The sequence below is a fragment of the Homo sapiens genome, chromosome 19 (assembly GCF_000001405.40).
Source record: "Homo sapiens chromosome 19, GRCh38.p14 Primary Assembly".
NCBI lineage: Eukaryota > Metazoa > Chordata > Mammalia > Primates > Hominidae > Homo > Homo sapiens.
In genome coordinates this window covers 37,145,540-37,172,921 of record NC_000019.10, presented here as the reverse complement: position 1 = coordinate 37,172,921, position 27,382 = coordinate 37,145,540, and the positions used below count along the sequence as shown (strand labels likewise).

General features: G+C 39.9%; 1 protein-coding gene across 4 annotated transcripts, besides 3 other annotated features; it reads left to right on the top strand.

Moving 5' to 3' along the window:
* Positions 1 to 295: an enhancer, noted in NCBI's record as "tiled region #11816; HepG2 Activating DNase unmatched - State 1:Tss, and K562 Activating DNase matched - State 1:Tss". NCBI's record gives its function as "activates a minimal TATA promoter and a strong SV40 promoter by Sharpr-MPRA in HepG2 and K562 cells {active_cell/tissue: HepG2 | K562}" and the evidence as "EXISTENCE:reporter gene assay evidence [ECO:0000049][PMID:27701403]".
* Positions 1 to 326: a biological region, named in NCBI's record as "Sharpr-MPRA regulatory region 11816".
* Positions 137 to 326: an enhancer, noted in NCBI's record as "active region_14539". NCBI's record gives its function as "activates an Ori minimal core promoter by ATAC-STARR-seq in GM12878 lymphoblastoid cells {active_cell/tissue: GM12878}" and the evidence as "EXISTENCE:reporter gene assay evidence [ECO:0000049][PMID:35858748]".
* ZNF585A (zinc finger protein 585A) lies at positions 227 to 27,382 on the top strand. 4 transcript variants are annotated; one of them, NM_152655.4, is made up of 6 exons: positions 227 to 295; positions 2,868 to 3,083; positions 7,226 to 7,327; positions 16,567 to 16,693; positions 16,965 to 17,057; positions 19,316 to 27,382. In NM_152655.4, the coding sequence occupies exons 4-6, from the start codon at positions 16,660 to 16,662 to the stop codon at positions 21,331 to 21,333; spliced, it is 2,145 nt and encodes a 714-aa protein (NP_689868.1). In that variant the 5' UTR covers positions 227 to 295; positions 2,868 to 3,083; positions 7,226 to 7,327; positions 16,567 to 16,659; the 3' UTR covers positions 21,334 to 27,382. The 4 variants fall into 4 exon arrangements, 3 of the variants coding, with proteins under 3 accessions (NP_689868.1, NP_001275729.1, NP_954577.1); NM_199126.3 differs by lacking the exon at positions 227 to 295 and adding an exon at positions 486 to 540; NM_001288800.2 differs by lacking the exon at positions 7,226 to 7,327.

Genomic DNA, 27,382 nt, shown 5'->3' with positions numbered 1-27,382 from the left:
TGCTCTACGGAATGGATATGCTTTCAAAATGGCGGCCCACGCGAATAAACACCATAAGGGCGCGGCCATGTTCTCTGCCGGACAGCGCCACATTACGGAACCTGTGCGCTGTGTCTGCGCCCTGTTGACTGTTCGAGGAAACTGGCTTCCAAGTTTATTCAGAGCATGCGCCATATCAACAGCCTACAAAGGGGAGGTGCTAGAAGTCGGACCGGAAGTGGAAGTGGTCTTCCAAGGCTTTTTTGCCGCTGGTGTCAGGAGTATTTTCATATTCCAATACCGATAAATCTTTGAGGTGATTTTGGTTGATCACGATTGGGGTTTCTGTGGAGCCAGTAATAGGGGGTGTCGAGGTTGCCTGTGGAGTTAGTGATTGCGGTTTCAGGCTTCGGTGATGGGGTTCTGTGGCGTCCGTTGTTGATTGTGACGGATTTCTCAGGTCATTGATGGAGCTCTTTGGGATGAGTGATTGAGGTTTGGGGGTCAGTGATGGGAGTCTGTGGTCAGTGACAGAGCCTGTAGGGTCAGTTATGGTGATCGGTGAGGACTGTAATCAGCTTGCTTTCTAACCTGAGTTGAAAGTTCAGCTTTTTAATTTTCAGTCTTCTTTAATATAAAAATTCTCAAGTTTTGGTGAATCTTTGTATTAAAAATTGTTCAAATCTAAGTGGTTTTTTCTTTGATCCATGAGTTATTTAGAAGTTCCTTTTTAAAGTAATGTCTGTTTAATGGTCAAATTGAAAAATTGCTTTATGACCTAGTTCGTGGTCAGTTTTCATGAATGTCACATCTATTACATAGAAACAGTGTACTATGTTCTCTAATTGTATTGTTATAGATATTAATTAAGCATATATTCAAAAAATATATCTGTCTCCTCACAGATTATTTTGTCTGCTTAATTACAGAGGAAGGTAAAGTACTCAACTCTGGAAAGGTTATTTGTCCATTTGTCCTTCTTTTTCTGCTTTATATATGTGAAATTATTAGGAATAACTATGTGCACTTTTTTTTTTTTTGAGATGGAGTCTCGCTCTGTCACCCAAGTTGGAGTGCAGTGGCGCGATCTCAGCTCACTGCAACCTCTGCCTAGTGGGTTCAACGGATTCTCCTGCCTCAGCCTCCAGAGTAGCTGGGATTAGAGGCACCCGCCACCACGCCCAGCTAATTTTTTGTATTTTTTAGTAGAGACGGGGATTCACCATGTTGGCCAGGCTGGTCTCAAACTCCTGACCTCAGGTGATCTACCTGCCTCCGCCTCCCAGAGTGCTGGGATTACAGGCGTGAGCCACTGCGCCCGGCATATGTGCATTTTTAATACTTTATAGATATGACTAAGTAGCTCAAAATATAACAATTCAAGCTTATACCAACAATTTATAAAATAACTCATTTTCCCAGATGCTTTTCCAGCAGTGGATATTGTTGCATTTTAAAAGTTTTTAAAATTTTGAGGGAAAATTATATCTAATTGCTCCAATGCATTTTCCAGTTACTAAAGTTGGCATCTTATTTGGTTAATTGCCATTTGTTTCCTTTTCTGTGAATTTTCATATCTTTTGTCCTACTTTTTTTTGTGGTATATTTTAACATAAAGTTAGGAAATATCATCTAATCAAAAGTATCTGATTTTTCTGTTACAGAGTCTGTGTTTCCTCTCACGTGTAATAAGATCCCTCCCAGCCCACCACAGTGTTATACACATGTATACTTCTAAAATTTATTTTAATAGTCTTTGTGATTTAACAAATACACATAATTAAGTGATCAGTCCTGCTGGCATTTGCCTACTGAATAGTGTGTGATGGAGATCTAGTTTGTTTTTTTCCAGGTGGCCAGCCAGTTATATCACTGCATTATATCACTGCCATTTATGCAATGAATGTCTTATGCACACTCATTTGAATACCACTTTTATCACATATATAGATCAATATTGTCTGGTATATTTATTGTTTTACTTGTTTTTATTACATTGTTTTTATATTGTTTTAATATCTGATAATGCATGGTAATCGCTGATATGTATTGTATGATTTTTGTGTGCCTGGGAGGTGTTGAGTACTTTACAAGTATTATCTCATTTAATTTTTGTAACTTTGAGATAAGCATTTTCATCCTCATTTCTGAAATTAAAAGTGAAGAAATGGCTGGGCGCAGTGGCTCACGCCTGTAATCCCAGCACTTTGGGAGGCAGAGGCGAGCGGATCAGGAGGTCAGGAGATCCAGACCATCCTGGCCAACATGGTGAAACCTCGTCTTTACCAAAAATTAGCTGGACATGGTGGCGCATGCCTGTAATCCCAGCTACTTGGGAGGCTGAGGCAGGAGAATTGCTTGAACCTGGGAGGCAGAGCTTGCAGTGAGCCGAGATCGCACCACTGCACTCCAGCCTGGCGACAGAGCGAGACTCCGTCTCAAAAGAAAGTGAAGAAACTTCTGTTCTCATAGGTGAAAAGTGTCAGAGCTGCAGTTCAAATCTGCAGTAACATTACTCCATCTCTCATGACTTTTCCCATATTTCACCGTAACTAATACCTATCACAGATTTTGTTAAATTTTATGTTCTCCTCAGCGCTGGTTCTCAAAGTGTGGTCCCTGTACTGACAGCATCAGCGTTTCCTGGGCACCAGTTAGAAACGAAACTTTTTGGGTTCTACTTTAGACCTACTGAATCAGAAACTGTGGAGTAGGCTGAGAATTTTTAACTGTGTTTCATTTAACAGGTCCTCCAGGTAACTTGAATGCATACCCATTTGAGAACCACTGCTTTGGTTTCTAGCTCAGGGACCTGCACCTTGATATATCCAGGAAGTGCTTATGTGTTGAATGTGAAATGACTGACTATGGGAACATTGTCTTTCCAGGTTTCTGGGTGTCTCTGGGGAGCCCCTGGGCCAGATTTTCCTCTAGACTCCAGCCCATCTCTTCAGAGCAGCTCTGCTTGAGTTCACAGATGACTGCCAAGCTTCAGACACCCTACAGAAAAAGGGTTGAGACCCAGTGTGGCCATGCCAGCTAATTGGACCTCACCTCAGAAATCCTCAGCCCTGGCTCCAGAGGATCATGGCAGCTCCTATGAGGTGAGAAGGAGGAGTCCCAGGGGGGTGGGAATTCAATCCAGGACTAGGTATCTCTGGTCTGTCACTAGAACCTCATGACTGAGGGAGGGAGCTGGGCCACAGGAAGCAGCTGGACTCTAGACCTGCTGCTCCTGAAACAAATCTTGATCTTCCTGTTGAGAATGAGCAACATGTGGGTAATGTCTTCGTCTCTGGAGGCCATCTGTGCGACAGTGGAGAGGTGGACTATTAAGAAAAACTGTTGTTTATTTTGTCATCACACTACATTGATCTTTGGGCTGTGGATAGATTTTCCTGGTTAGAAGTCACTTTTCTGTGGGATTTTCAAAGTATTTCTCTTGTTTCTTCCTAAACTGCCTCCTCAAACACAAATATTTTCTTTCTTTCTTTTTTTTTTTTTTTTACATTTCTGTTTTTCGGATATTGGTTCTCCATTTTTTTCCCTCTACTGTTTTCTATTTCTTTGCTGCTCTCTTTTTCAGGAAGCTTTGTCACATTTGCCTTCCAGCCCTTCTTTTGAGTTTCTCGTTACCACTATCAACATTTTAATTCAACGTTTTAATTTTTAATAACTGTAATTTATTTTCTAAATATTCTTTTTGATTAGCATCTTGTTCTTATTTCATGGGTATAATTTTATTTCTTATGCCTCTGGAGATATTGTGATAGTGTATTAGGAAAGTTTAGTTTTCTGAATAGGGAATATATACACTTCGTTCAAAAATAATATTGGTAAAATGGGAATAATAGTAAAAAATAAAAATTAAAAACAATTAGAAATGCATTTAAAGGCAACACACCCTGAAAAGTGTTATAGGAAACAAATTCAGGGGAAACATGGATCTGTGATTCACCCACCTCCGTTCCCCACCTACCCCCATGTTTCTCAACATACAGGACCGATTTTATTCTTTTTCTTTGATTGCTTAGTTCTATAAACAAGTAAAAACAAGTACACATTTTTTTCTTTCTATTTCACAAAAGGTGCCATAGTAGACTAAATTTTCACACATTGCTTTTTAAATATTTGTTTGGTAAAATACAGCTCATATTATGAACTATGTAGCAGTAGGCATTCTTCTCATGTCTTTCCTTTCTGTTGCATGTGTAAGTTGTAGTAGAATTTCATTTCTGGTTTTAGTCACAGGTAATAAGAATCTTCTAGCTGAATTTCACTGAACCTCTACTTCTGTTCCTATTGGGAAATTTTATGATTGGGTATCTTAATCATTTTTACCTAGAAAATATGAAGGGTAGATTGAAGCAAAAGCTATAATTGGTAAAGGTATAATTGGCAGTCACTTTCCTTATGCAGAGTAAGGAGATTTTTATGGTTTGAAGAAGATTGTGATTTTTGTCTGTGCTCAAGTATAATGACAGAGTGGTCTTGGTTTTGTCTTCCACCATGGTGGTCAGAGATTGGTCTTGTTTGCTGTTGGTGTTCCAAGAGATTATTTTTGTGTAGCGCCATGGAGAACACCATGAGTTAGCTGGCCCCTGCCAGGCTAGCTTCTAGCAAAACTGAGGTTTAACTGATAGTACCAGGCTAACTCTCAGCGGTCAGGGGCTGCTTTTATCCTCATTTAAAAATAAAGGAATGAACCAAAAGAAAGCTAGGGATGCAATTTAGGAACAGGTCAAAAGGAATTTAAGGTGAAAATCACTTAAAGGGATGAAGAGGATGGTTCATACTTATAAAAGGAAGAATATACAAATAATTATAAAAGTTATCAACATTTGTTTAACTAATAATGTATTTTTGAACTATATTAAGTAAAAATGAACAGAAATCATTAAATATGCCATTGGCCATTTTAGTACACTACTCTCAAGGCAGACAAAGAATAGAAACCTTTGCCATCATACTGATTCTGTTTTCTAAGAGCATTAAATTAGAAATAAAAAGTAAGGTCTGGGGCGGTGGCTCACGCCTGTAACCCCAGCACTTTGGGAAGCCAAGGCGGGTGGATCACAAGGTCAGGAGTTGGAGACCAGCCTGGCTAACATGGTGAAACTCATATACTGAAGACTCATACTGAAGACACAAAAAATAAGCCGTGCGTGGTGCCACGCACCAGTAATCCCAGCTACTTGGGAAGCTGAGGCTGAGAATCACTTGAACCTGGAAGGCGGAGGTTGTAGTGAGCCGAGATCGTGCCATTGTACTCCAGGCTGGGCGACAGGGCGAGACTCCATCTCAAAAATAAAATAAAATAAAATAAAATAAAATAAAATAAAATAAAATAAAAATAAAAAGTAAAAGGCTCTTACACAACGTGAATGTACTTCATGTCACTAAACTGGTCACTTAAAAATATTAAAATGGCAACTTTTATGTTATGTGTATTTTTACCACAATTAAAAAGCATTTGGGGCCAGGCCCAGTGCCTGTAATCCCACCACTTTGGGAGGCCAATGTGGGCGAATCATGAGGTCAGGAGTTCGAGACCAGCCTGGCCAACATGGTGAAACTCCGTCTCTACTAAAAACACAAAAAATTAGCTGGGTATGTGGCGGGCACCTGTAATCCCAGCTACTCAGGAGGCTGAGGCAGGATAATTGCTTGAACCTGGGAGGCAGAGGTTGCAGTGAGCCAAGATTGTGCCACTGCACTTCAGCCCAGGCGACAGAGTGAGACTCCATGTCAAAAACAAAACAAAACAAAACATTTGGATAAAGTAGTGCATTTTAAAGTTTGTGTGGTAGGCTGGGTGTAGTGGCTCATGCCTGTAATCCCAGCACTTTGGGAGGCTGAAGTGGGTGGATTGCTTGAGCTTAGGAGTTCAAGACCAGCCTGGGCAGCATGGTGAAACCCCGTCTCTACAAAAAATAGAAAAATTAGCCAGGTGTGGTGGTGCAGGCCTGTAGTCCCAGCTACTTAGGAGGCTGAGGTGGGAGGATCGCTTGAGCCTGGGAAGTAGAGGTTGCAGTGAGCTAAGATCATGCCACTGTACTCCAGTCTGCGTGACACAGTGAGACCCTGTCTCATAAATAAATAAAGTAAGTTTATGTGCTAAAGCTATCCTGTGGGTAGAGGGGAAAAACTATAGATTTAATTGCTTCTTTTTGGAATCCTGGACGTTTAAAAAAAAAAAAGACCTAAGGTATGAGTTTGACAGAAACACAAGTTGCTGTGTTGATGTGTTGACAATCAAAAAATGTGTTGACAAGTTGATGTGTTGACAATCAAAAAATGGAGTAAATATCTACATAATCAAAGACTGTGCAGCCGGGCATGGTGACTCACACCTGTAATCCCAGCACTTTGGGAGGCCAAGATGGGTGGATCACGAGGTCAGGAGACCAAGACCATCCTGGCCAACGTGGTGGAACTCTGTTTCTACTACAAAAATTAGCCGGATGTGGTGGTGCGCACCTGTAGTCCCAGTTACTCAGGAGGCTGAGGCAGGAGAATTGCTTGAACCCAGGAGGCAGAGGTTGTAGTGAGCCGAGATTGTGCCACTGCACTCCAGCCTGGGGGACAGAGCGAGAGCGAGACTCTGTCTCAAAAAAAAAAAAAAAGACTGGGCAGCATGGTGGCTCACACCTGTAATCCCAGCACTTTGGGAGGCTGAGGTGGGTGGTTCACTTGAGGCCAAGAGTTCAAGACCAGTCTAGTCAACATGGCGAAACCCCATCTCTACTAAAAATACAAAAATTGGCAGGGTGCCACAGTGCAGGTCTGTAATCCCAGGTACTTGGGAGGCTGAGGCAGGAGAATGGCTTGAACCTGGGAGGCGGAGGTTGCAGTGAGCCAAGATCATACCACTGCATTCCAGCCTGGGCGACGGAGCAAGACTGAAAAAAAGACAAAAGAATGTAACAAAACAGGAGAAACAGTTAGTTCCGTACCTAAGATTCAAACAATCATGAATGAATATTATACAAAATCATGCCAAAAATATGAAAGTATAAATAAAAGGATAAAAGTTTACAAAAAATAGATATAATTGGTAAGAATTTAAATGGTTCAAAGTCCTTGAAGAAATTAAAATGTTGATTCAGCATTTCCAACACAGTAAAAAATAATGGAAAGGTCATGCATTTTTATAGTTGGTCATTATGCTGAAGTTTTGGGTAAAGAATAATATTTAAAATTATTCTCAACCTTGCTTTTGGTTTTTGTTTTATTTTGTTTACAGTGTTAACCTTGATGCCTGAAAGAACTGGAAATTATGAAGATAGATTCAGAAGTCAAATATGTTAACTAACTGCATTGAAGAGTAGAAGAAAACAATAGCCTAGTAGGTTTTTACTGGGATTAGTGAAACAACTGCTATGTTCTCAGCAACCCACTCCAAAGCCAAAGTCAAAACTAAAATTGTAAAATATCTCAAAAACAATAAAAATGGTATATATATATCAGAAGCTCTGGTATATAGCAAAACTGTACTAAAAATAATTTAGAAAAATAATTTATCTCATGCAAATGAATAAAAAAATCTAAATGAAAAGGATGAATTTCTTTTTTTTTTTTTTTGAGACATAGTCTTGCTCTGTAGTCAGGCTAGAGTGTAGTGATGTGATCTTGGCTCTGCAACCTCCGCCTCCCGGGTTCAAGCAATTCTCCTGCCTCAGCCCAGCGAGTAGCTGGGAGTACAGGCGTGCGCCACCACGCCCAGCTAATTATTTTGTATTTTTTTAGTAGACACGGGGTTTCACCATGTTGGCCAGGATGGTCTCAACTTTGACCTCGTGATCCACCCGCCTCAGCCTCCCAAAGTGTTGGGATTACAGGCATGAGCCACCGCACCCAGCTGAAAAGGATGAATTTCTAGAACATTAACTACCCCACCAAATCTTTAAATACCATTTACCACATTTTATTTCTAGGTTTTAAGATTTTCATTTTTTAACTTTACTTTTGGCCATATGTGGTGGCTCACACTTGTAATTCCAGCACTTTGGGAGACTGAGGCGGGAGGATTGCTTGAGCCCATGAGTTTGAGACCAGCCTGCACAACATAGTGAGACCCTGTCTCTACAACAAAAACCAAAATTAACTGAGTGTGGTGGTGGGGCACCTGTGATACCAGCTACTTGGGAGGCTGAGATTGGAGGACGGCTTGAGCCTGTCAAGGCTGCAGTGAGCCACGACATTGCCACTACATCCAGCCTAGGTGACAGTGACACCCTGTCTTGAAAACAAAAGCAAAAAACTTCAATAAGATTAGGATTGCAGCATTGGAGAAATTTACTTTTCGAGAGATTATTACGGGTATTTCTTTGTTTTTTGTTTTGTTTTGGGATTGTTGTATAGGCACTTGAAAAGAAAAAAATTTGATAGCTTATCAATAAGATATATAGCTATGAGGTTTCTATAGTATTACTCATTTTTTTCTACTTTGTCTCAAGTTGCTGAGAGATATTATTAAAGTTTCCCACCACAAATGTATTTCTATCTATATTTTCCTATAGTTCTTTTTTTTTTAATTTGAGACAGTGTCTTGCTGTGTCGCCCCGGCTGGAGTGCAGTGGTGCAATCTCGGCTCACTGCAAGCTCCGCCTCCCGGGTCCACGCCATTCTCCTGCCTCAGCCTCCCGAGTAGCTGGGACTACAGGCGCCCGCCACCACGCCCTGCTAATTTTTTGTATTTTTGGTAGAGACTAGCCAGGATGGTCTCGATCTCCCGACCTCGTGATCCACCCGCTTCGGCCTCCCAAAGTGCTGGGATTATAGGCATGAGCCACCACGCCCGGCCTTTTTCCTATAGTTTTTGTTTATAAATTTTGATGTTATGTAGTTTGGTGCACAGATAGTAAATACGGCATCCGAAACTCATTTCACATTGTGTCCTTGTTTAATATTTTTTCCCCTGCAATTCAGCCCTATCTAATATTAAGGAGGAGGCTCTTATTTCTTTTCTGTTGGCAACTCCAGATATGCCTTTGGTCATCTTTTTAATGTCATCCTTTGGAGTTCTTGTGCTTTTTTGTGTGTGTGTGTGGAAAGATGCATTTTATGTTATGCTTCTGATGTGGCTATTTTATAAATCTTTCACTATATACTCTATATTTGTGCTTTGTTTCTGTGTGTCTTCCATGTAATTTGGAATGTTTGGATTCTTTTTTGTTTTTGTGTGTGTGTGTGTGTGTGTGTCATCTTTATGATGTTAACTTCTTGAACTAAATATTCGAATCTACTCTTTAAGACAGTATTTATTAAATTTGTACTGTGAATAATGATAACAGTTCTACACTGCCAATTCAAGGATTCTTTTGTTCATTGGATGTTTTTATTAAACTCCTCTTATTTTCTTTAAAAAATATCTTTATTTCCGTCTCATGTTGCTCACTTGCCTTAATCTGCTCTTTGCCACCTTTTGTGTTTTTGCAGGGTCTTCTCATTTTTTTCAGGGAGACTTTTATTTTTGTGTTGCTTTTTTTTTTTTTACTTTTTTACTGAGTTCTGTTAATTTATTTTTCAGAAATTTATATCACTATATTCTTAATCTGTTTTTCCCTAAGCAGTTAATTGTTTTAGTAAATTCCTTGAATTCATGGAGGTTATGATTTCTTCTGTTGTATGTCAATTTATTTCTAGTGTATTCTTCTTAATCTCCTCTCTTTTTTTTTTCATCCTTTTACTCATAGCATCTTTGTACATCAGGAGATGTTTATTGTCTTTGAATGAGGAGATTTCTTCCTGACAAACTGTTTGTATAAGATCATTTGGTGAGGTGTCAAAACTCCATTCTAGCCTAACATGACATTGTCTTGATTCCCCATTAAATTTTTTGATGACATTAGTTTTGGGGGCTGGGGGTTCAGTGTGTGTAGGGCATGAATATGCAAGTGTGTGATGAAGAGAAAACTAGAGCATGCGTCTTCATTTCAGGTATATAGGGAACTTTTTTTTTGGTTTAAGTTTATAGGTACAAGGGCAGGTTTGTTATATAGGTTAACTTGTGTCATGGGGGTTTATTGTATAGACTTTTATCACCCAGGTATTAAGCCTAGTACCCATTAGTTATTTTTTCTGATCCTTTCCCTCCTTTCACCCTCCACTTTCCAAAAGGCCCCAGTGTGTGTTGTTCCCTTCTTTGTGTCCCTGTGTTCTCATCATTTAGCTCCCACTTATAAGTTAGAACGTGTGGTATTTGGTTTCCGTTCCTGCATTAGTTTGCTAAGGATTATCACCTCCAGCTCCATCCATGTTCCTGCAAAAGACATGATCTCAGTCTCTTTTATGGCTGCATAGTATTCCATGGTGTATATATAGACACCACATTTTCTTTATCCAGTTTATCACTGATGGGCATTTAGATTGATTCCATGTCTTTGCTATTGTGAATACTGCTGCAGAGAACATATGTGGGTATGTGTCTTTATAATACAATGATTTATATTCCTTTGGGTATATATCCAGTAACAGGATTGCTGGGTCAAATGGTATTTCTGTCTTTAGGTCTTTGAGGAATCGCCACACTGTCTTCCATAAGGCCTGAACTAATTTACACTCCCACCAACAGTGTATAAGCCTTCCTTTTAAGAAATGAAGATATTGTAAGCCTCATAAACAGAATCAACACACATCACAAAGAAACAAATTGTAATCTCCGAACACAATTAAATGAATAAATTAAAAAAGTAGCTTTTAAGAATCATACTTTTAGGCCGGGCGTGGTGGCTCACGCCTGTAATCCCATCACTTTGGGAGGCCCAGATGGGCAGATGACCCGAGGTCAGGAGTTCAAGACCAGCCTTGCCAACATGGTGAAACCCCATCTCAACTAAAAATAGAAAAACTAGCCAGGCATGTTGGCCGGTGCCTGTAGTCCCAGCTACTTGGGAAGCTGAGGCAGGAGAATCGCTTGAACCTGGGAGGCAGGGGTTGCAGTGAGCCGAGATTGCGCCACTGCACTGCAGCCTGGGTAACAGAGTGAAACTCCATCTCAAAAAACAAAAAAAAGAATCATACTTTCAGATATTAATGATCACAAGTATCTTTAATACATTTCTGTCTCCAATTTCTTCCTGTGTGCTCGTGCACTCTCCTGAATTCAGAGACCTGCTCATACATGACTTTTTTTTTCTTAGAATAAAGTAAGCTAGAGAAAAAAATGTTATTAAGAAAATCAAAAGGAAGATATTTGTATTCAATATTCATTAAGTGAAAGTGGATCATCGTAAAGGTTTTTATCTTTGTCATCTTCACATCTGAGCTGACTGAGGAGTAGGAGGAAAAGGAGAGTTTGGTTTTGCTGGCTCGGGTGGCAGAGGCGGAAGAGGAGGAGAAGGTGGAAGGGGAGGCAGGAGAGGCATGCACACTATATGTAACTTTTATTGAAAAAAATTCATGTATCTGTGGACTTGCGTAGTTCAAACCTGTGTTGTTCAGGCTCAACTACAATTTATATTCTCTCTCATCAATTGTGCAATGAGTCTCTGATCTTCCAGTCTTGTCCATTCCCAAATGTTATGTATGTTTTGAAAATAATCTTTCTTAAGTAATATGTATATTTCAGTTTTTTATTTTGAAATTATTACAGATTCATAAGGAGTTAGAAAATATAGTACAAAGAGTTCCCCCATAAATTCCAGTTTATTGTGGTACGTGATTCTTTTTAGTGATTCTTGAATTCAGTTTGCTGACATTTTGTTGGGAATGTTTGCATTTAAATTCATGAGAGATATTGGCCTGTAGTTTTTTTTTTTGTTACTGTGTTTGTCTGATTTTGACATTGGAGTAATACTGGGCTTAAAAATATTAGTTTGGAAGTGTTTCTCCTCTTTTATTTTCTGGAAGAGATTATGTAAAAATGACACATTCTTCTTTGTAAGTTCGATAGAATTCTTTGGTAAAAGCTGGGTATGGTGATATGTGTCTGTAGTGGCAGCTACTCAGGAGGCTGAGGCAGGAGGATCGCTTGAGCCCAGGAGTTCGAGGCTGCAGTGACCGATGATCACGCCACTGCTCTTCAGCCTGGACGACAGAGCAAGATCGTGTCTCACAAAAAAAATTAAAAAGAAGAAGAAAAAAAGAATTCTCTGGTAGAACTATCTAGCCTAGAGGTTTCTTTTTCGGGAGCTTTTAAATTATTAATTTAAATTAATTTAATGGTCATAAGATGGTTTATCTTATCCATTTTCAAAGGTTTGAGTTTTGGTAGTTTGTGATGTTTGAGGAATTGGCTTATTTTTTTCTAAGTTATTGAATTTATTAGCTTGGAGTGTTTATTTTTCTCATTGTATTTTAAATGGCTGCTGCATCTATAATGATATTTACTGTTTTATTCCTAATATTGGTGTCTTTTTATCTTTGCCAGTCTGGTTGACTAATAGACCAATCAGTGAATTTATCGGTTTTATTATTTTGTTCTCTAATAACTGGATTGTGTTACAGTGATTTTTCTCTCTATCTTTTGTTTTCAGTTTTGTTGATTTCTACTTTTTATTATTTAGTTCCTTCTGCTTGCTTTTGAGTTCTTTTGCTCTTCTTTTTCTAGTTATTTATTTATTTATTTATTTATTTATTTATTTATTTATTTATTTTTGAGACAGGTTCTGGCTCTGTTGCCCAGGCTGGAGTGCAGTGGTGCCATCTCAGCTCACTACATCCTCTGCCTTCCCAGGCTCAAGTGATTCTCCTGCCTCAGCCTCCCAAATAGCTGGGACCACTATTTGGGAAGTGCACACTACCACACCTGGCTAATTTTTGTATTATTGATGGAGATGGGGTTTTGCCCTGTTTCCCAGGCTGATCTCGAACTCCTGGGCTCAAGCAATCCTCCCACTTTGGCCTCCCAAAGTGTTGGGATTATAGGAGTGAGCCACCATGTCTGGCCTCTTTTTCTAGTTTTTTGAGGTACAAGCTTACATTATTGATTTGTAGCTTTTTCCCTTTTCTAATGTAATCCTTTAGTACTATAAATTTCCCTCTCAGCCTTGCTTTACCTGCATCCCACAGATTTTGATAGGTTGTATTTTTACTGTCTATACATAGAACTCTGTGTATTTTAAATATTATTTTGGCGATATCTTGTTTGACCTGTGGGTCATTAAAGAAGAGTGCTGTTAATTTTCAAATATTTTGTGGGTTTTTTAGGTTGTTTTTGTTTGTTATTTTTTAATTTGCTTGGAGATTTTGTCTGTTTTGTTTCTGTTATTAATTTTTGTTTGATTCCCTTGTGGAACATACTTTGTATTGTTGTAATTCTTGTAAACTTGTTGAGGTTTGTTTCACAGCCTAGGGTATGGTTGTCATGCTCACTTTTCTATGGGTGCTTGAAAAGAATGTGCATTCTGCTGTTGTTTGTTGCAGCTGCCTTTTCTATAACCTTGATGATGTCCTGTCTAGTATTTTGATAAATTGCTAAGGTGAGGGAGGGGTATTCAAGTCCCTAGCATACTTTCTTTAAATGTATACAGCTCCATGTGGTAATAGGCATTCCTTTCATTGTGCAATTCCAAGTTAGATTTTTTAATTTGGAGGATCATGTATTTTGTTTTCAAAAAGCATTTTATTATGAAAAAATTTAAATATATGCAAAAGTAAAGATAATAGTATAAAGATCCCTTTCACCGATTGTCCCTGTCACCCAGTTTCAGTCGTCATCAACATTCTGCCTTTTTTTTTTTTTTTTTTTTGAGATGGAGTCTCACTCTGTTGCCTCGGCTGGAGTGCAGTGGCACGACCTCAGCTCACTGTAATCTCCACCTCCTGGGTTCAAGTGATTCTCGTGCCTCAGCCTCCTGGGTAGCTGGGATTATAGGTGTGTGCCACCACACCCAGCTAATTTTTGTATTTTTTGGTAGAGATGAGATTTCTCCATGTTGGCCAGGCTGGTCTCAAACCCCCAACCTCAAGCAATCCACTTGCCTCGGCCTCCCAAAGTGCTGGGATTACAGGTGTGAGCCACCACACCTGGCCCATTCTGCCATTCTTACTTTATCTGAAACCACCTCCCATTCAGCAGCTAGATTATTTTAAAGCAAATCTCAAACACCATGTTTTGTGTAAAAATACCTTGATATGTATCTCGGAGAGATATGAATTCCCTTTTTCCTTTGTGTTTAGCATAACCAGTAAGCTAATGTCACACAACAAAATAACAGTAATTCCTTGATATCATCTAATACCCACCATTTGCATTTCTCTAAATTGTCATAAATATTTTTTTAAGATTGGTTCATTTTAATTAGTGAAAGTCCACAAGTTGCCTTTGGTTAGTATGGCTCTAAAGTCTCTATTAATAAAGAAAATATTCCCTTCCATGTCCATTCTCTTGTAATTTTTTGAAGAAGTGGGCCATTTGCTACCTTCTGAATTTAGCTGATGTCTTGGTCTTCATATTGTTCAGTACGTTTCACTCTCCTTCCCACTCCTGTGAATGGCTTGTTAGATCTGGAGACTTGATGAGATAGGGGTTTGAATTTTATTTTTTGGCAAGAATACTTCATAAGTAGTGTAATGAAATTAATTACTATGCCATGTCAGCAGGCACATGAGAGCTGGTTTGTGGATGCTGATGTTACTAGCTGATCTATCCATTGTACGCTTCCCTTCAGCCTTTCAACTGAAACATTCCAACAGCCATTAATGATTATTGTCTAAATCTGTTATTTCATTAGTAGTTATACATGGTGGTATTTTAATTTTATCCTAACTTCTTTATTTATTAGCTAGAATCATTCTATAAAAAACTTTTCCAACCAGGTAAAGTAGCTCATGCCAGTAATCCCACCACTTTGGGAGGCCGAGGCAGGTAGATCGTGAGGTCAGGAGATCGAGACCATCCTGGCCAGCATGGTGAAACCCTGTCTCTATTAAAAATACGAAAATTAGCCTGGTGTGGTGGCGTGCGCCTGTAATCCCAGCTACTCGGGAGTCTGAGGCAGAGAACGGCTTGAATCCGGGAGGTGGAGGTTGCGGTGAGCCGAGATCGCACCACTGCACTCTAGCCTGGGCGACAGAGTGAGACTTTTGTCTAAAAAAAAAAAAAAAAAAGAACTTTTCCTCACCAGCTGTTTGGTTATCCTGTGTAATACAGAACTTAAAAAAAATTTACATATAAATCTGATTACCTTAATTACCATTACTGAAAGTAAAAATTCCATACTTTGACCAAACTGTTTTTCCTATACTGCTTTTCTGACACATCAGACAGACTTCTCTCCATTTATATAAACCTGTTTGCTGTTCCCTAAACTCATGGTGTATTTTTCTATCTCTACACCTTTTATTCTTGTCTTTTCTGGGCATTGTCCCCCTCACCCCATATTCTGGGTTACACTTTGTATCTTCCAAGTTAAATTCCTCAACTCTACGGAATGTCAACTTACTCCCTCAAGTAAAATGTACTTTTTGTTCCTTTGGGCCCTCAGTGTGTTCCACCATAAGGCATCTACTTTTCAACACCTTAATGAATTTGTTATGTCTTCTTTTTTAAAAAACTTCAGTCTGATTTATTTTCCAAGTCTTTTAAGTTGCTAGAAGATTGGACACATAATTATTTCTGTGTTCCCAGGGCTAGCATAAGGGCTCGTCCTAAATTGATCAGAAAGCATATCGCAGGTCATTCATCCAGTTGCTAGGAAACTAAAACACAGCTTATTTCAATTGCCAGTTTTGAAAAATGAGTAATTGGCTGACTATAGTACAGAACAAATAGCAGAAATTCTTGATGGGATTTCTGTGTTCCACAAAATATGTAAAACTAAATATTTAATATGCATATATATAAAATGTTTCTTCGAAATTTCTGGATTATACAGGTGTACACAGTTGTCAAAACTTTAAATGGTAAATTAAAGATTGGTGCATTTAATTGTATGTAAATGTTACTTACAAAAGGTTGATACGTTTTACACCCTAGTTCATGATTTGCATTTTGAAGTATTAAGAGAGGCCAGGCGCGGTGGCTCACGCATAATCCCAGCACTTTGGGAGGCCAAAGCGGGTGGATCACCTGAGGTCAGCAGTTCAAGACCAGCCTGGCCAACATGGCAAAACCCCGTGTCTACTATAAATACAAAAATTAGCCGGGCATGGTGGTGCATTCCTATAATCCCAGCTACTCGGGAGGCTGAGGTAGGAGACTCTCTTGAACCTGGGAGGCGGAGGTTGCAGTGAGCCAAGATCATACCATTGTACTCCAGCCTGGACAACAGAGCGAGACTCTGTTTCGGAAGAAAAAAAAAATGAAGTATTAGGAAGAAGTGTGGTGTCATCTGCAACTTACTTTGAAATGTACAAAGAAGCAAGATGGATAGATAAAAGAATGGCTTAGATGTATGATAAAGCAAGTAAAGTGTTAATGATTGATCCTAGGTGGTAGGTATACATTTCTTACTGCATAATTATTTTAAATTGTCGGTATGTTTGAAAATTTTCATAATAAAGTATTAGAGAAATGGGAGTGAGTTTTTAAAAAGAGAATGTAAATTTAAAACAACAAGACCTGTATTCCATATTCCTAAATATAGTCTCTCCAACCCTCTAAGCTGACTGTGCACATTGAACAAGAATTTGCCCTTACAGGGATCAGTGTCCTTCAGGGATGTGGCTATCGATTTCAGCAGAGAGGAATGGCGGCACCTGGACCCTTCTCAGAGAAACCTGTACCGGGATGTGATGCTGGAGACCTACAGCCACCTGCTCTCAGTAGGTAAGCACAGTCACCTTGGTATCTGAAAGGAGGCCTCACTGAGAGTGTTTTCATTCTCAGTTGGTGAATGCTGTCCGCATCTTAAATAGGTGATGATTTTGTTCTTGATTTGTCTAGGATTCTTTATTTGTTTAGGGCACTCAGAATTTTACCCTGAAAAGTTATGGTTACTTTTCTGAAGAAAAAATCCTCATCAAAGAATAAGAGATTATTGGTTGGGCCCTGAAACACAATTAGCTGGACCCAGACCTTTATCATTTCCCATGAACAGGATATCAAGTTCCTGAAGCAGAGGTGGTCATGTTGGAGCAAGGAAAGGAACCATGGGCACTGCAGGGTGAGAGGCCACGTCAGAGCTGCCCAGGTGAGTGAAGCGAGTGTGAATCCGGTAGATGGGAGATGGGAGGAAATCTCAGCTGTCTTGAGAAACACCAACACCCTTGGAATACTATTAAGATGCTTTTTCTGGAAAGTTCTGAATGTTTTTGTATTGCTTGATGCCCCCTTGGCCTCTCAGATCACTAAATGCATTCTCCCTGGATGACCTTTGTCATTTATTTTTTGTCACAGCCTGGGTCGCAGCCGGGGCTGTGTTGCCCAGGCTGGAGTGCAGTGGCATGATCCCAGCTCACTACAACCCCCGCCTCCTGGGTTCAAGCAATTCTCGTGCCTCAGCCATCCAAGTAACTGGGATTACAGGTGTTTGCCAGCCACCATGCCCAGCTAATCTTTGTACTTTTAGTAGAGGCAGGGTTTCACCATGTTGGCCAGGCTGGTCTCTAACACCTGACCTCAAGTGATCCACCCGTCTAGGCCTCCCAAAGTGCTGGGATTACAGGCATGAGCTACTGCGCCTGGCCGACCTTTGTCACTTCTGTGTTCTTCTTTGGCTTCGTGGATTCTGAATCATGTGCCAGTCTCCCTCATTAAAGATCTTTCTTGGCCGGGCGCGGTGGCTCACACCTGTAATCCCAGCACTTTGGGAGGCCGAGGCGGGCAGATCATGAGGTCAGGAGATCGGGACCACGGTGAAACCCCGTCTCTCCTAAAAATACAAAAAATTAGCCGGGCGCCGTGGTGGATGCCTGTAGTCCCAGCTACTCGGGAGGCTGAGGCAGGAGAATGGCATGAACCCGGGAGGCAGAGCTTGCAGTGAGCCGAGATCGCGCCACTGCACTCCAGCCTGGGCGACAGAGCGAGACTCCGTCTCAAAAAAAAAAAAAAAAAAAAAGATCTTTCTTTCTTGGTTATGCTCATTTTCTCTAACATTCTTCTTTTCCCCTACATTCCCCATAGTCCTAGAGTCTTTCTTTAACCTTCACGCATTCACGGATCTGCTTTCTTTCAAAGTTACTCTGTGTCACCCACTCCCACTCCTGCTAGTCACTTTTATTTCTTTTCTTTTTTCTTTTTTTTCTTTCTTTTTTTTTTTTTACTGTGAGATGCCTCAGAGCTTTCTGTCCAATCACCCTCTCTTTTTGTTTTCTGCAGAGGAGTGGCCATGAAATTTCTTACTTCTTCCCAGTCCTTCATGCCTGGATAAACTGATGACTTTGGGGGTCACTGTTACTTAATCTTTGGGATTATCTTTCTGCTGTCTTTAACATAATTAATCACCCTTCCTGACCTTTTTTCTTGATGTTGCTTGAGTGATTCCACATTGACCAGGGTTCGTTTTTGTTGTTGTTTTTGATTGCTTTATTTTTATAGTTTACCTGATGAGGTTTGAGTTTAATCATAGTCTTCAGTTTAAGACACACTATCATCATGAGTCTGGGTCAGGATTCTCTCTTATTTATGTTTTGATTTATTCCTTTTTCTCTTTCCCCCACACCCATTTTTCTGCCTGTCATAAGCTACTGTTTTATATGATGGAAACATTTTTTATTTCATGCATGTTGTAAGTGAATTAAGAGTTTGGATCATTAGTTTATATGAATGATGCTGTGGTATATATAGTGTTTTTTGCCTTACTTTTTCCACATCTGTCCATGGTGTTATCTGTTCATTTAGTTTATTTCCTCTAACTGCTGAATTGTTTTCCAGAACATTTCCTATCAACATTGTTACTGCCTTCCTCTTCACGTTACTCACCCTCACCCTTTTCTCTGTGTTCAGCCTGGATGAGTCATTTGTACCATACCCCCTAGCCTCTGCTAGCTGTTCTTTGAACTAAAATCACCTGTTTCTCATTTGAGCGGAGTTTAGATTCCAGACCTTATAGCACGGAATCTCTGAAGAGGTTTCTTTCCAAATTGAAAGAAAAGGTCATGATGAAAGTGATGTGAGATTCTATTTTATTCTAGAATAATTGTGACAGATTGGTGACAAATAGAGAGCTATCAGCAGAGAAAATAAATATCAAAATGATGTTGCTTTCATCAAGAAAATATTGACAACAAAGAGGCAATATGACTATAAGGATAGTAGAAAAATAATTCATGTGAACCCAAACATCATTTCTCCTCCCAAAAGACCCCATCAATATGCCTCATTTGGAAATGGTTTAAAGCATAATTTAGATTTATACAGTCATAATAAAAATAATCCTTCAAAGAATGTTAAAAAGATTACCAAATGATAAAATGTCTTCCTATAGTAACCATGAGTGTATTCCAACAGGAGAGAAATTATGGGACCATAATCAATGTAGAAAAATCCTCAGTTATAAACAAGTATCCTCTCAACCTCAAAAAATGTATCCTGGGGAGAAAGCTTATGAATGCGCCAAATTTGAAAAGATATTCACCCAGAAGTCACAGCTCAAAGTACACCTGAAAGTTCTTGCAGGAGAAAAGCTCTATGTATGCATTGAATGTGGGAAGGCTTTTGTACAGAAGCCAGAATTTATTATACACCAGAAAACCCATATGAGAGAGAAACCCTTTAAATGCAATGAATGTGGAAAATCCTTTTTTCAAGTGTCGTCCCTCTTCAGGCATCAGAGAATTCATACCGGAGAGAAACTCTATGAATGCAGCCAGTGTGGGAAAGGCTTCTCTTATAACTCAGATCTCAGTATACATGAGAAAATTCATACTGGAGAGAGACACCATGAATGCACTGACTGTGGCAAAGCATTCACACAAAAGTCCACACTCAAGATGCATCAGAAAATCCATACAGGCGAGAGATCCTACATCTGTATTGAATGCGGACAGGCCTTCATCCAGAAGACCCATTTGATTGCACACCGAAGAATTCATACTGGAGAAAAACCATATGAGTGCAGTAACTGTGGCAAATCCTTCATTTCCAAGTCACAACTTCAGGTACATCAACGTGTTCACACAAGAGTGAAGCCCTATATATGTACCGAATATGGGAAGGTCTTCAGCAATAATTCCAACCTCGTTACACATAAGAAAGTTCAAAGTAGAGAGAAATCTTCCATATGTACTGAGTGTGGGAAGGCCTTTACCTACAGGTCAGAGTTGATTATTCATCAGAGAATTCACACTGGAGAGAAACCTTATGAATGCAGTGACTGTGGGAAAGCCTTCACTCAGAAGTCAGCACTCACAGTGCATCAGAGAATTCATACAGGAGAAAAATCGTATATATGCATGAAATGTGGACTGGCCTTCATTCAGAAGGCACACTTGATTGCACATCAAATAATTCATACTGGAGAGAAACCTCATAAATGTGGTCACTGTGGGAAATTGTTTACCTCCAAGTCGCAACTCCATGTTCATAAACGAATTCACACAGGAGAAAAGCCCTATATGTGCAATAAATGTGGGAAGGCATTCACCAACCGGTCAAATCTCATTACACATCAGAAAACTCATACAGGAGAGAAATCTTATATATGTTCCAAATGTGGAAAGGCCTTCACCCAGAGGTCAGACTTGATTACACATCAGAGAATCCATACTGGGGAGAAGCCTTATGAATGCAATACTTGTGGAAAAGCCTTCACTCAGAAGTCACACCTCAATATACATCAGAAAATTCACACTGGAGAGAGACAGTATGAATGCCACGAATGTGGGAAAGCCTTCAACCAGAAATCAATACTCATTGTTCATCAGAAAATTCATACAGGAGAGAAACCCTATGTATGCACTGAGTGTGGAAGAGCTTTCATCCGCAAGTCAAACTTTATTACTCATCAAAGAATTCATACTGGAGAGAAGCCTTATGAATGCAGTGACTGTGGGAAGTCCTTTACCTCCAAGTCTCAGCTCCTGGTGCATCAGCCAGTTCACACAGGAGAGAAACCCTATGTGTGTGCCGAGTGCGGGAAGGCCTTTAGTGGCAGGTCAAATCTCAGTAAGCACCAGAAAACTCATACCGGAGAAAAGCCCTACATTTGTTCTGAATGTGGGAAGACCTTTCGACAGAAGTCAGAGTTGATTACACATCACAGAATTCATACTGGAGAGAAACCTTATGAGTGCAGTGACTGTGGGAAGTCTTTCACTAAAAAATCACAGCTCCAAGTGCATCAGCGAATTCACACTGGAGAGAAGCCTTACGTGTGTGCTGAGTGTGGGAAGGCCTTTACTGACAGGTCCAATTTGAATAAACATCAGACAACACACACTGGAGACAAACCCTACAAGTGTGGCATCTGTGGGAAAGGCTTCGTTCAGAAATCAGTGTTCAGCGTCCATCAGAGCAGCCACGCTTGAGAGAAACAGTGTGAGAAAACCCCCCTGAGGGTTGGGTCTGATTGTACACTGTTGCACGCATGCAGCAGAAAAATATGTATATTATTGTAAATAGAAATGACCACAGCAGAATGTCACACATGGCTGTTCTGGAGAGGGCCTCTGAGAAGGCACTGAATGAGGCGAGGGACCCTTCCTACATTGTCACCATCCCCAGTAAACCTTGGGTCATTATTCATACTGACAAGGAACCGAGTCAATTTGGTGAATAGGAAAAGCCTTCTCATGAAAACTACAATAGAATACTGTTACCAAATTCTTCCTAAGAAAGATCGTATTAAGTTAACGATAATCCTGTTTACTGTGGATTAGGTATAGTGCCAACAAATTGAATGATAAAACAACATAATACGTAGTTATTTTGATAGTGATGAATCCTAAGTTATGTGAGTTGTTCGTTGTGGAACACATTGTGTAACAGACTCCTGGGTGTTTTTCTTTCTCATTCGAATCTACCACAGTTGGTCATATCCAACCCTCATTCAGTATTTCTATCAAGAAAGAGATGCTACAAAAAAAAAAAGAAAAAACCTTTATGTATACAGACGTAAACCTCAGAATGTATGTTGAGTCCCCACTGTCATCTACCAAGACTTGCACCCCCCTCATTATCTACCATGACTGTCTCTCAGCCTCACGGGCCCTCAGCACTTTGTGTTTTGACCCCCAGCACCGTGTCTTGTGAACTCCCATCACCTTCAAGAAAGCTTCCGAGGTAAGAATTTTATGGTCATCTGGGACAACTTAAATCTCCCTTCTGCTGTCATAGTTCTTCCAACTCAGTTGCCTTTTTTTTTTTTTCGTACTCATCACTGACTTGAAGCTTAGTATCTGGCTTCCTTAAGGATGTAACTTTCATGTAACAGATTAATAACTTATATGAAAACCAACACAACCATATGTTTAGGGCTGGAAAGGGCCATGACGCCTGGCCATTTTTCCTGTTTTACCTTACTCTTATGTGTGTCACACTTCATCAATTCCGGAAACAGTTTCTGGAGATCTCCTCATTACCTCTTTTACAATCACCTCACTCCAGCATGGTGTCTGTTACCTCTTCCCACTTGTGACAATGTCTAGTAAGGTCCACTCTCCATTCTGTGTGATGACCACTTATTACAACCCTCAGAATAGGGGACAGTGGTGTGCCCCCTGCAATACAATGGTTTCTATCTCCTGATACTTTTATTACACCTCTAGCAGGATGTCTTGTGATCCTCCTTATTGATTTTTCCCTCACGATGATGAACAATTATCTCCCGTTACTCACCTAGCAGTATCTAACTGTCCCTAACACAGCATGTGGGAATGCCCTCAATACGGTGGATGCTGTTAACTTTCTTCCTTCCCCTCAGGCAATGGCGGTGACTTACAATGAACCATAATGTCCACATTTCCCAACTGTATTTTGGAGCCTCTTCTGTCCCCTTCTTTCTAGGACCCCAGTTAAAAAAAAAAAAAACAAAAACTAGCCCAATGTCTGTTGATGCCCATTAATCACTAACACAGTGTCTGACCCCTCCATTAAATTTTGATGGTATCTCTTGGCTCCCCATTGTCCCGTTAACCCAATGTCTGCTGATTCCCAATTTCCCACATTGCTTCATGCGGTTCCTTAGTCACCCTTGGCTACTGTACTTCCCCCAAGATTGCATCTCCATGTTTGCATGGTCATGATCCCTGGAAGATGGTGATGAGGATGAGGTCCCAGCCTCATAGACCTTTTCCTCTGAGTTCCCCCCAAGGCACAATGGAATGATGGACCCAGGGTGGGCCAGGGATGATCTGGAGATCTCAGGAGACCACAAGCTGGGCTTCCTGTCTACTACATGAGTATGGTGTGAGCAGAACAGTGAAAGCTGTCTATGTTGGTTCAAATTCTGGTGCCAACACTGATCCACTTAGGGACCCTCAGCCTGCCCAGAAACCTCCTCTGGGCCTCAATTTTCTCACTTGTAAAATGGGATTATGGGAGAATGAAGTGACTTTTTTTGGGTCACATGATGGATGGGATCCAAGCCAGCAGGGCCCAATGACAGCATCCTGTTAATATTAGTCATCAGTCAACATAAGCATCTGACTATCCTCTGTATGCCCAAGCCTCATGAAGGGAAACAATTTATTGTAAATGACTTTTGATTATTTCTCTTATATATTTATTGTAACAATATTATAATACTTACGTATATGTATATGCATATACCCGTATATACGGAAGGCTTTATTTTTTAGAGTAGTTTTAGGTTCAAAGCAAAATTGGGTAGAAATTACAGAGGTTTCCCATATATCCCCTAATCCACATATGCATAGCCTCCCACATTATCAGCATTCCTCTCAGAGTAGTATATTTGTTACAATTGGTGAACCTCCACTGACACTCATTACCACCCCAAGTCTATAGGTTATATTAGGGTTCATCCTTGGTGTAACACCATAGAATGTGTCTTGTACTTTCTGCTTGTTGGAGCAAGTGGATCATGGCATGTTTCCACTGTTATACACAGAGTAGTTTCACTGCCCTAAAAATCCTCTGTGTTCTGCCTGTCATCCCTTCATCTCCTCTAATCCTGGCAACATTTTTTCTGTCTCCATAGTTTTACCTTTGATCTTTTATATCATATAGTTGAAATTATACAGTGTGTAGCCTTTTCAAATTGACTTCTTTCACTTAGTAATGTGGATTTCAGTTTCCTCCATGTCTTTTCATGGCTTGATAATGCATTTCTTTTTAGAGCCAAATTATGTTCCATCGTCTGGATGTTTATTTATTCACCTACTGAAGGACTGTTGGATGCTTCCTTTTGGCAATTATGAGGAAAGCTGTTATAAATATCTGTGCAGGCTTTTTGTGTGGACATAACTGAAATATTTTTAAAGTTATATTTATTGAGGTATAATTTACATTCAGTAATAGTCACACTTTTTAGTGTAGAGTTCTGAGTTTTGACAGTTGTATCTAATCATGCAATCAACACCACAATCAAGATGAAGAACAGGCCCCTCACTTCCCTAACTTCTTTCCTATCCCTTTTTAGTCCCTTTTCCCACTCCCAGCCCTTGGCAATCACCAGTCTGTTTCCGTCTCTATAGTTCTGCCTTTTCCATAATATTGTATAAGTGGAGTCCTTGTGTGTGTGTGTGTGTGTGTGTGTGTTTTGTACGTGTATGTATATCTCCTTTTGAGTCGGAGTGCTTTCATTTAATGTGATGTATCTGAGATTCATCCATATGGTTCTATGAAAAACAAATGGAAAATAAGGTGATGAAAAGATGCTCAACATCTTTAATTATCAGGAAAATGTAAATCAAACCACAATGAGATACTACTATAGAATGGCTTTTAGAATGGCTAAAAATGAAAACGTGCCATAAATTGGCAAGAATACAGACCAATGGAAATTTTCATGCATTGCTTGTAGGATTGTAAAACGGTCTGTCCACTATGCACAAAAGTTTGGCAGCTTCTTATACTATTAACCATACATTTATCATATGACTCAGCAACTCCACACTTAGGTATTTACCCTAGATGAAAGAAAAATTCTGTTTACATGAAAACCTATACTCAGATGTTCACAGCAATTGTATAATTGCCCAAATTAGGAAGTAACACAAATGTACATCAGTGGATGAGTGATTAAACAAATTGTGTACACCAATACTATGGAGGGCTGCTCAGACATAAAGAAATGATTTATTGACACTTACTACAACATGGATGAATCTCAAAAGTGCTGTTGTATTTTAGGTAAACCATGTGATAACTTGAATTACATTTGATAAAAGATTTATAAGTGTAAAAACTAGATTTATATATTTTAATTTTATATGTGCCTGTCATTACATACTATAGAAAATTGTGTCTACAGTATGTTATATAGCATATTGTAATATTTATTACTGTATATTCCTTGTGACAATAAAATAGTTTGTATTTTATATAATAGTACCTGTTTTATAGTATATGTTTTATTTTATATGATTACCTAATTTTAATATTTTACATATCAAACTTTCACATAATATTTTGGTTATTTCTACTTTCACGTAGTTGCATTTAATGTTTGTAGTGTAAAGATATAACTACAATAAAAGAGGCCAGAGAGTCTGCAGTTGGAGTTAGTCAACATTTTTATTTGTCAGGCATCTCAATTCTGGCTGTTTTAACATCAAGGATCTTTTCTCTGGCTTTGGGCCTTTGCACCGACTGTTCTGAGAGTGCTCTGCTTCTCCAGTGCCCGTGCATCTTGCTTTCCTCTTCCACCTTTGCAGTGCCTCCATCCCCATCTTATCCTGCCATTGAAGTAACACATCTGTAGAGCTCACTTGCTGCTCCCTTATTTTGTATGATATTTGCATTGCAAATACTATTACTATCTGACCTGATTCAATATTCCTTTTTTTGGTTTCTCATCCCTCTTCCCCACTGGACCATCAGCCTCATGAGAACCAGACTTTGTCTGTCCTGTTTCTGCTGTATACCAGGCGCCCAGCACGGTGCCAGCTCAAAGCAGATGCTCAGTACAAGCTTGTTAAATGGATGAATGAATAATAGCAATAATATCGAGGTTGACCAGATGCCCCGCACAGATTGGTAACATGTGTGGGGAAGTTGGTGGGGTGGGTTTGGGTCCTCTAATTCAAGATTTAATGCCTCCTCCCACCATGGTCCAGCACACCCAGCTCTAACTCCATGTCAGGGCAGTACCAAACTGAGTATCCTACCTACATACATTCCACACTGTTTACAAGATCTAACTTAGCCTCCTCCTGGTCACAGTGGCAGGTCACATAGAGGGGGAAAGGGGCAGGAGTGGGGGATCCATAGGCAGGGGGCCACTCCCATCAGCATCTAGCCTAGCACTTTCTATCCTGCACCCCATTGTCAGTGTCACCTGCCCCACCTCCTCCACTGGAGCAGCCACTGGAAAATATAGAACCCCAGGAGCAAGAGGAATGTGGCAGGGCTGAGGGTTCTGGGGCTCAGGCACCTTGTTGGATAATGGATGTGATGCAGTGTGGCAGACATTGACCCCGTGGCCAAAGTCAGCTTAAAGCCAAGGTTGTCATGGACACTTCCCATAATGCCAGGATGAATCACACCCTCCACCCTCAGCTCTCAAATGGGCTACTAGTGCCAATGTGACTATTTTTTATTTTTATTTTTTTTGAGATGGAGTCTCACTCTGTTGCCAGGCTGGAGTGCAGTGGTGTGATCTTGGCTCACTGCAACCTCTGCCTCCCGGGTTCAAGTGATTCTCCTGCCTCAGCCTCCGAGTAGCTGCGATTACAGGCACCCACCACCACACCCAGCTAATTTTTTGTATTTTTAGTAGAGATGGGGTTTCACCATGTTGGCCAGGATGGTCTCAATCTCCTGACCTCACGATTTGCCCACCTCGGCCACCCAAAGCATTGGGATTACAGGCCTGAGCCACCTCGCCCAACCCAGTGTGACTATTTATGGTATATCCTACACCTCCCCACCACACTCTACTCCACATTCCTCATACCGTACCATACCGTACACCATGCCATAGCATACCACTTACAGTTTTACTTAATTCTATAATTATATTGTTTCTATTAATGGTTTTAAATATAATCAACACAATTATACTTTATAACAAATATCAGAATCCTTGTCATTATTATATGCCTCTAAATTATTAAGATATCATAAATAACAACATATCAATTCTGATGCTAAGAAATCCTCTGTCTCTGCTAGTTTCTGCCACCTTCAGGTGTTTGTATTATATAAACACAGTAGTCCCACCCCTGGGCTGATGTTTTCCACCCTCTGTGAAATCAGCACAATTAGGTTACATCCTTAGTGATTTTATTATGGTGTTATTTTAATATTTATTATAACAAGGAATGCTGCTATTAAAACAAAAAATTGTGCTCTCTGTTTACATTTGTGAAATAGGACAATATAAGAAGCACATTAGTACAATCATTTGAGTTATATTAAGTTTGTGCCTATAATAAATGCCAATCCTGAAAA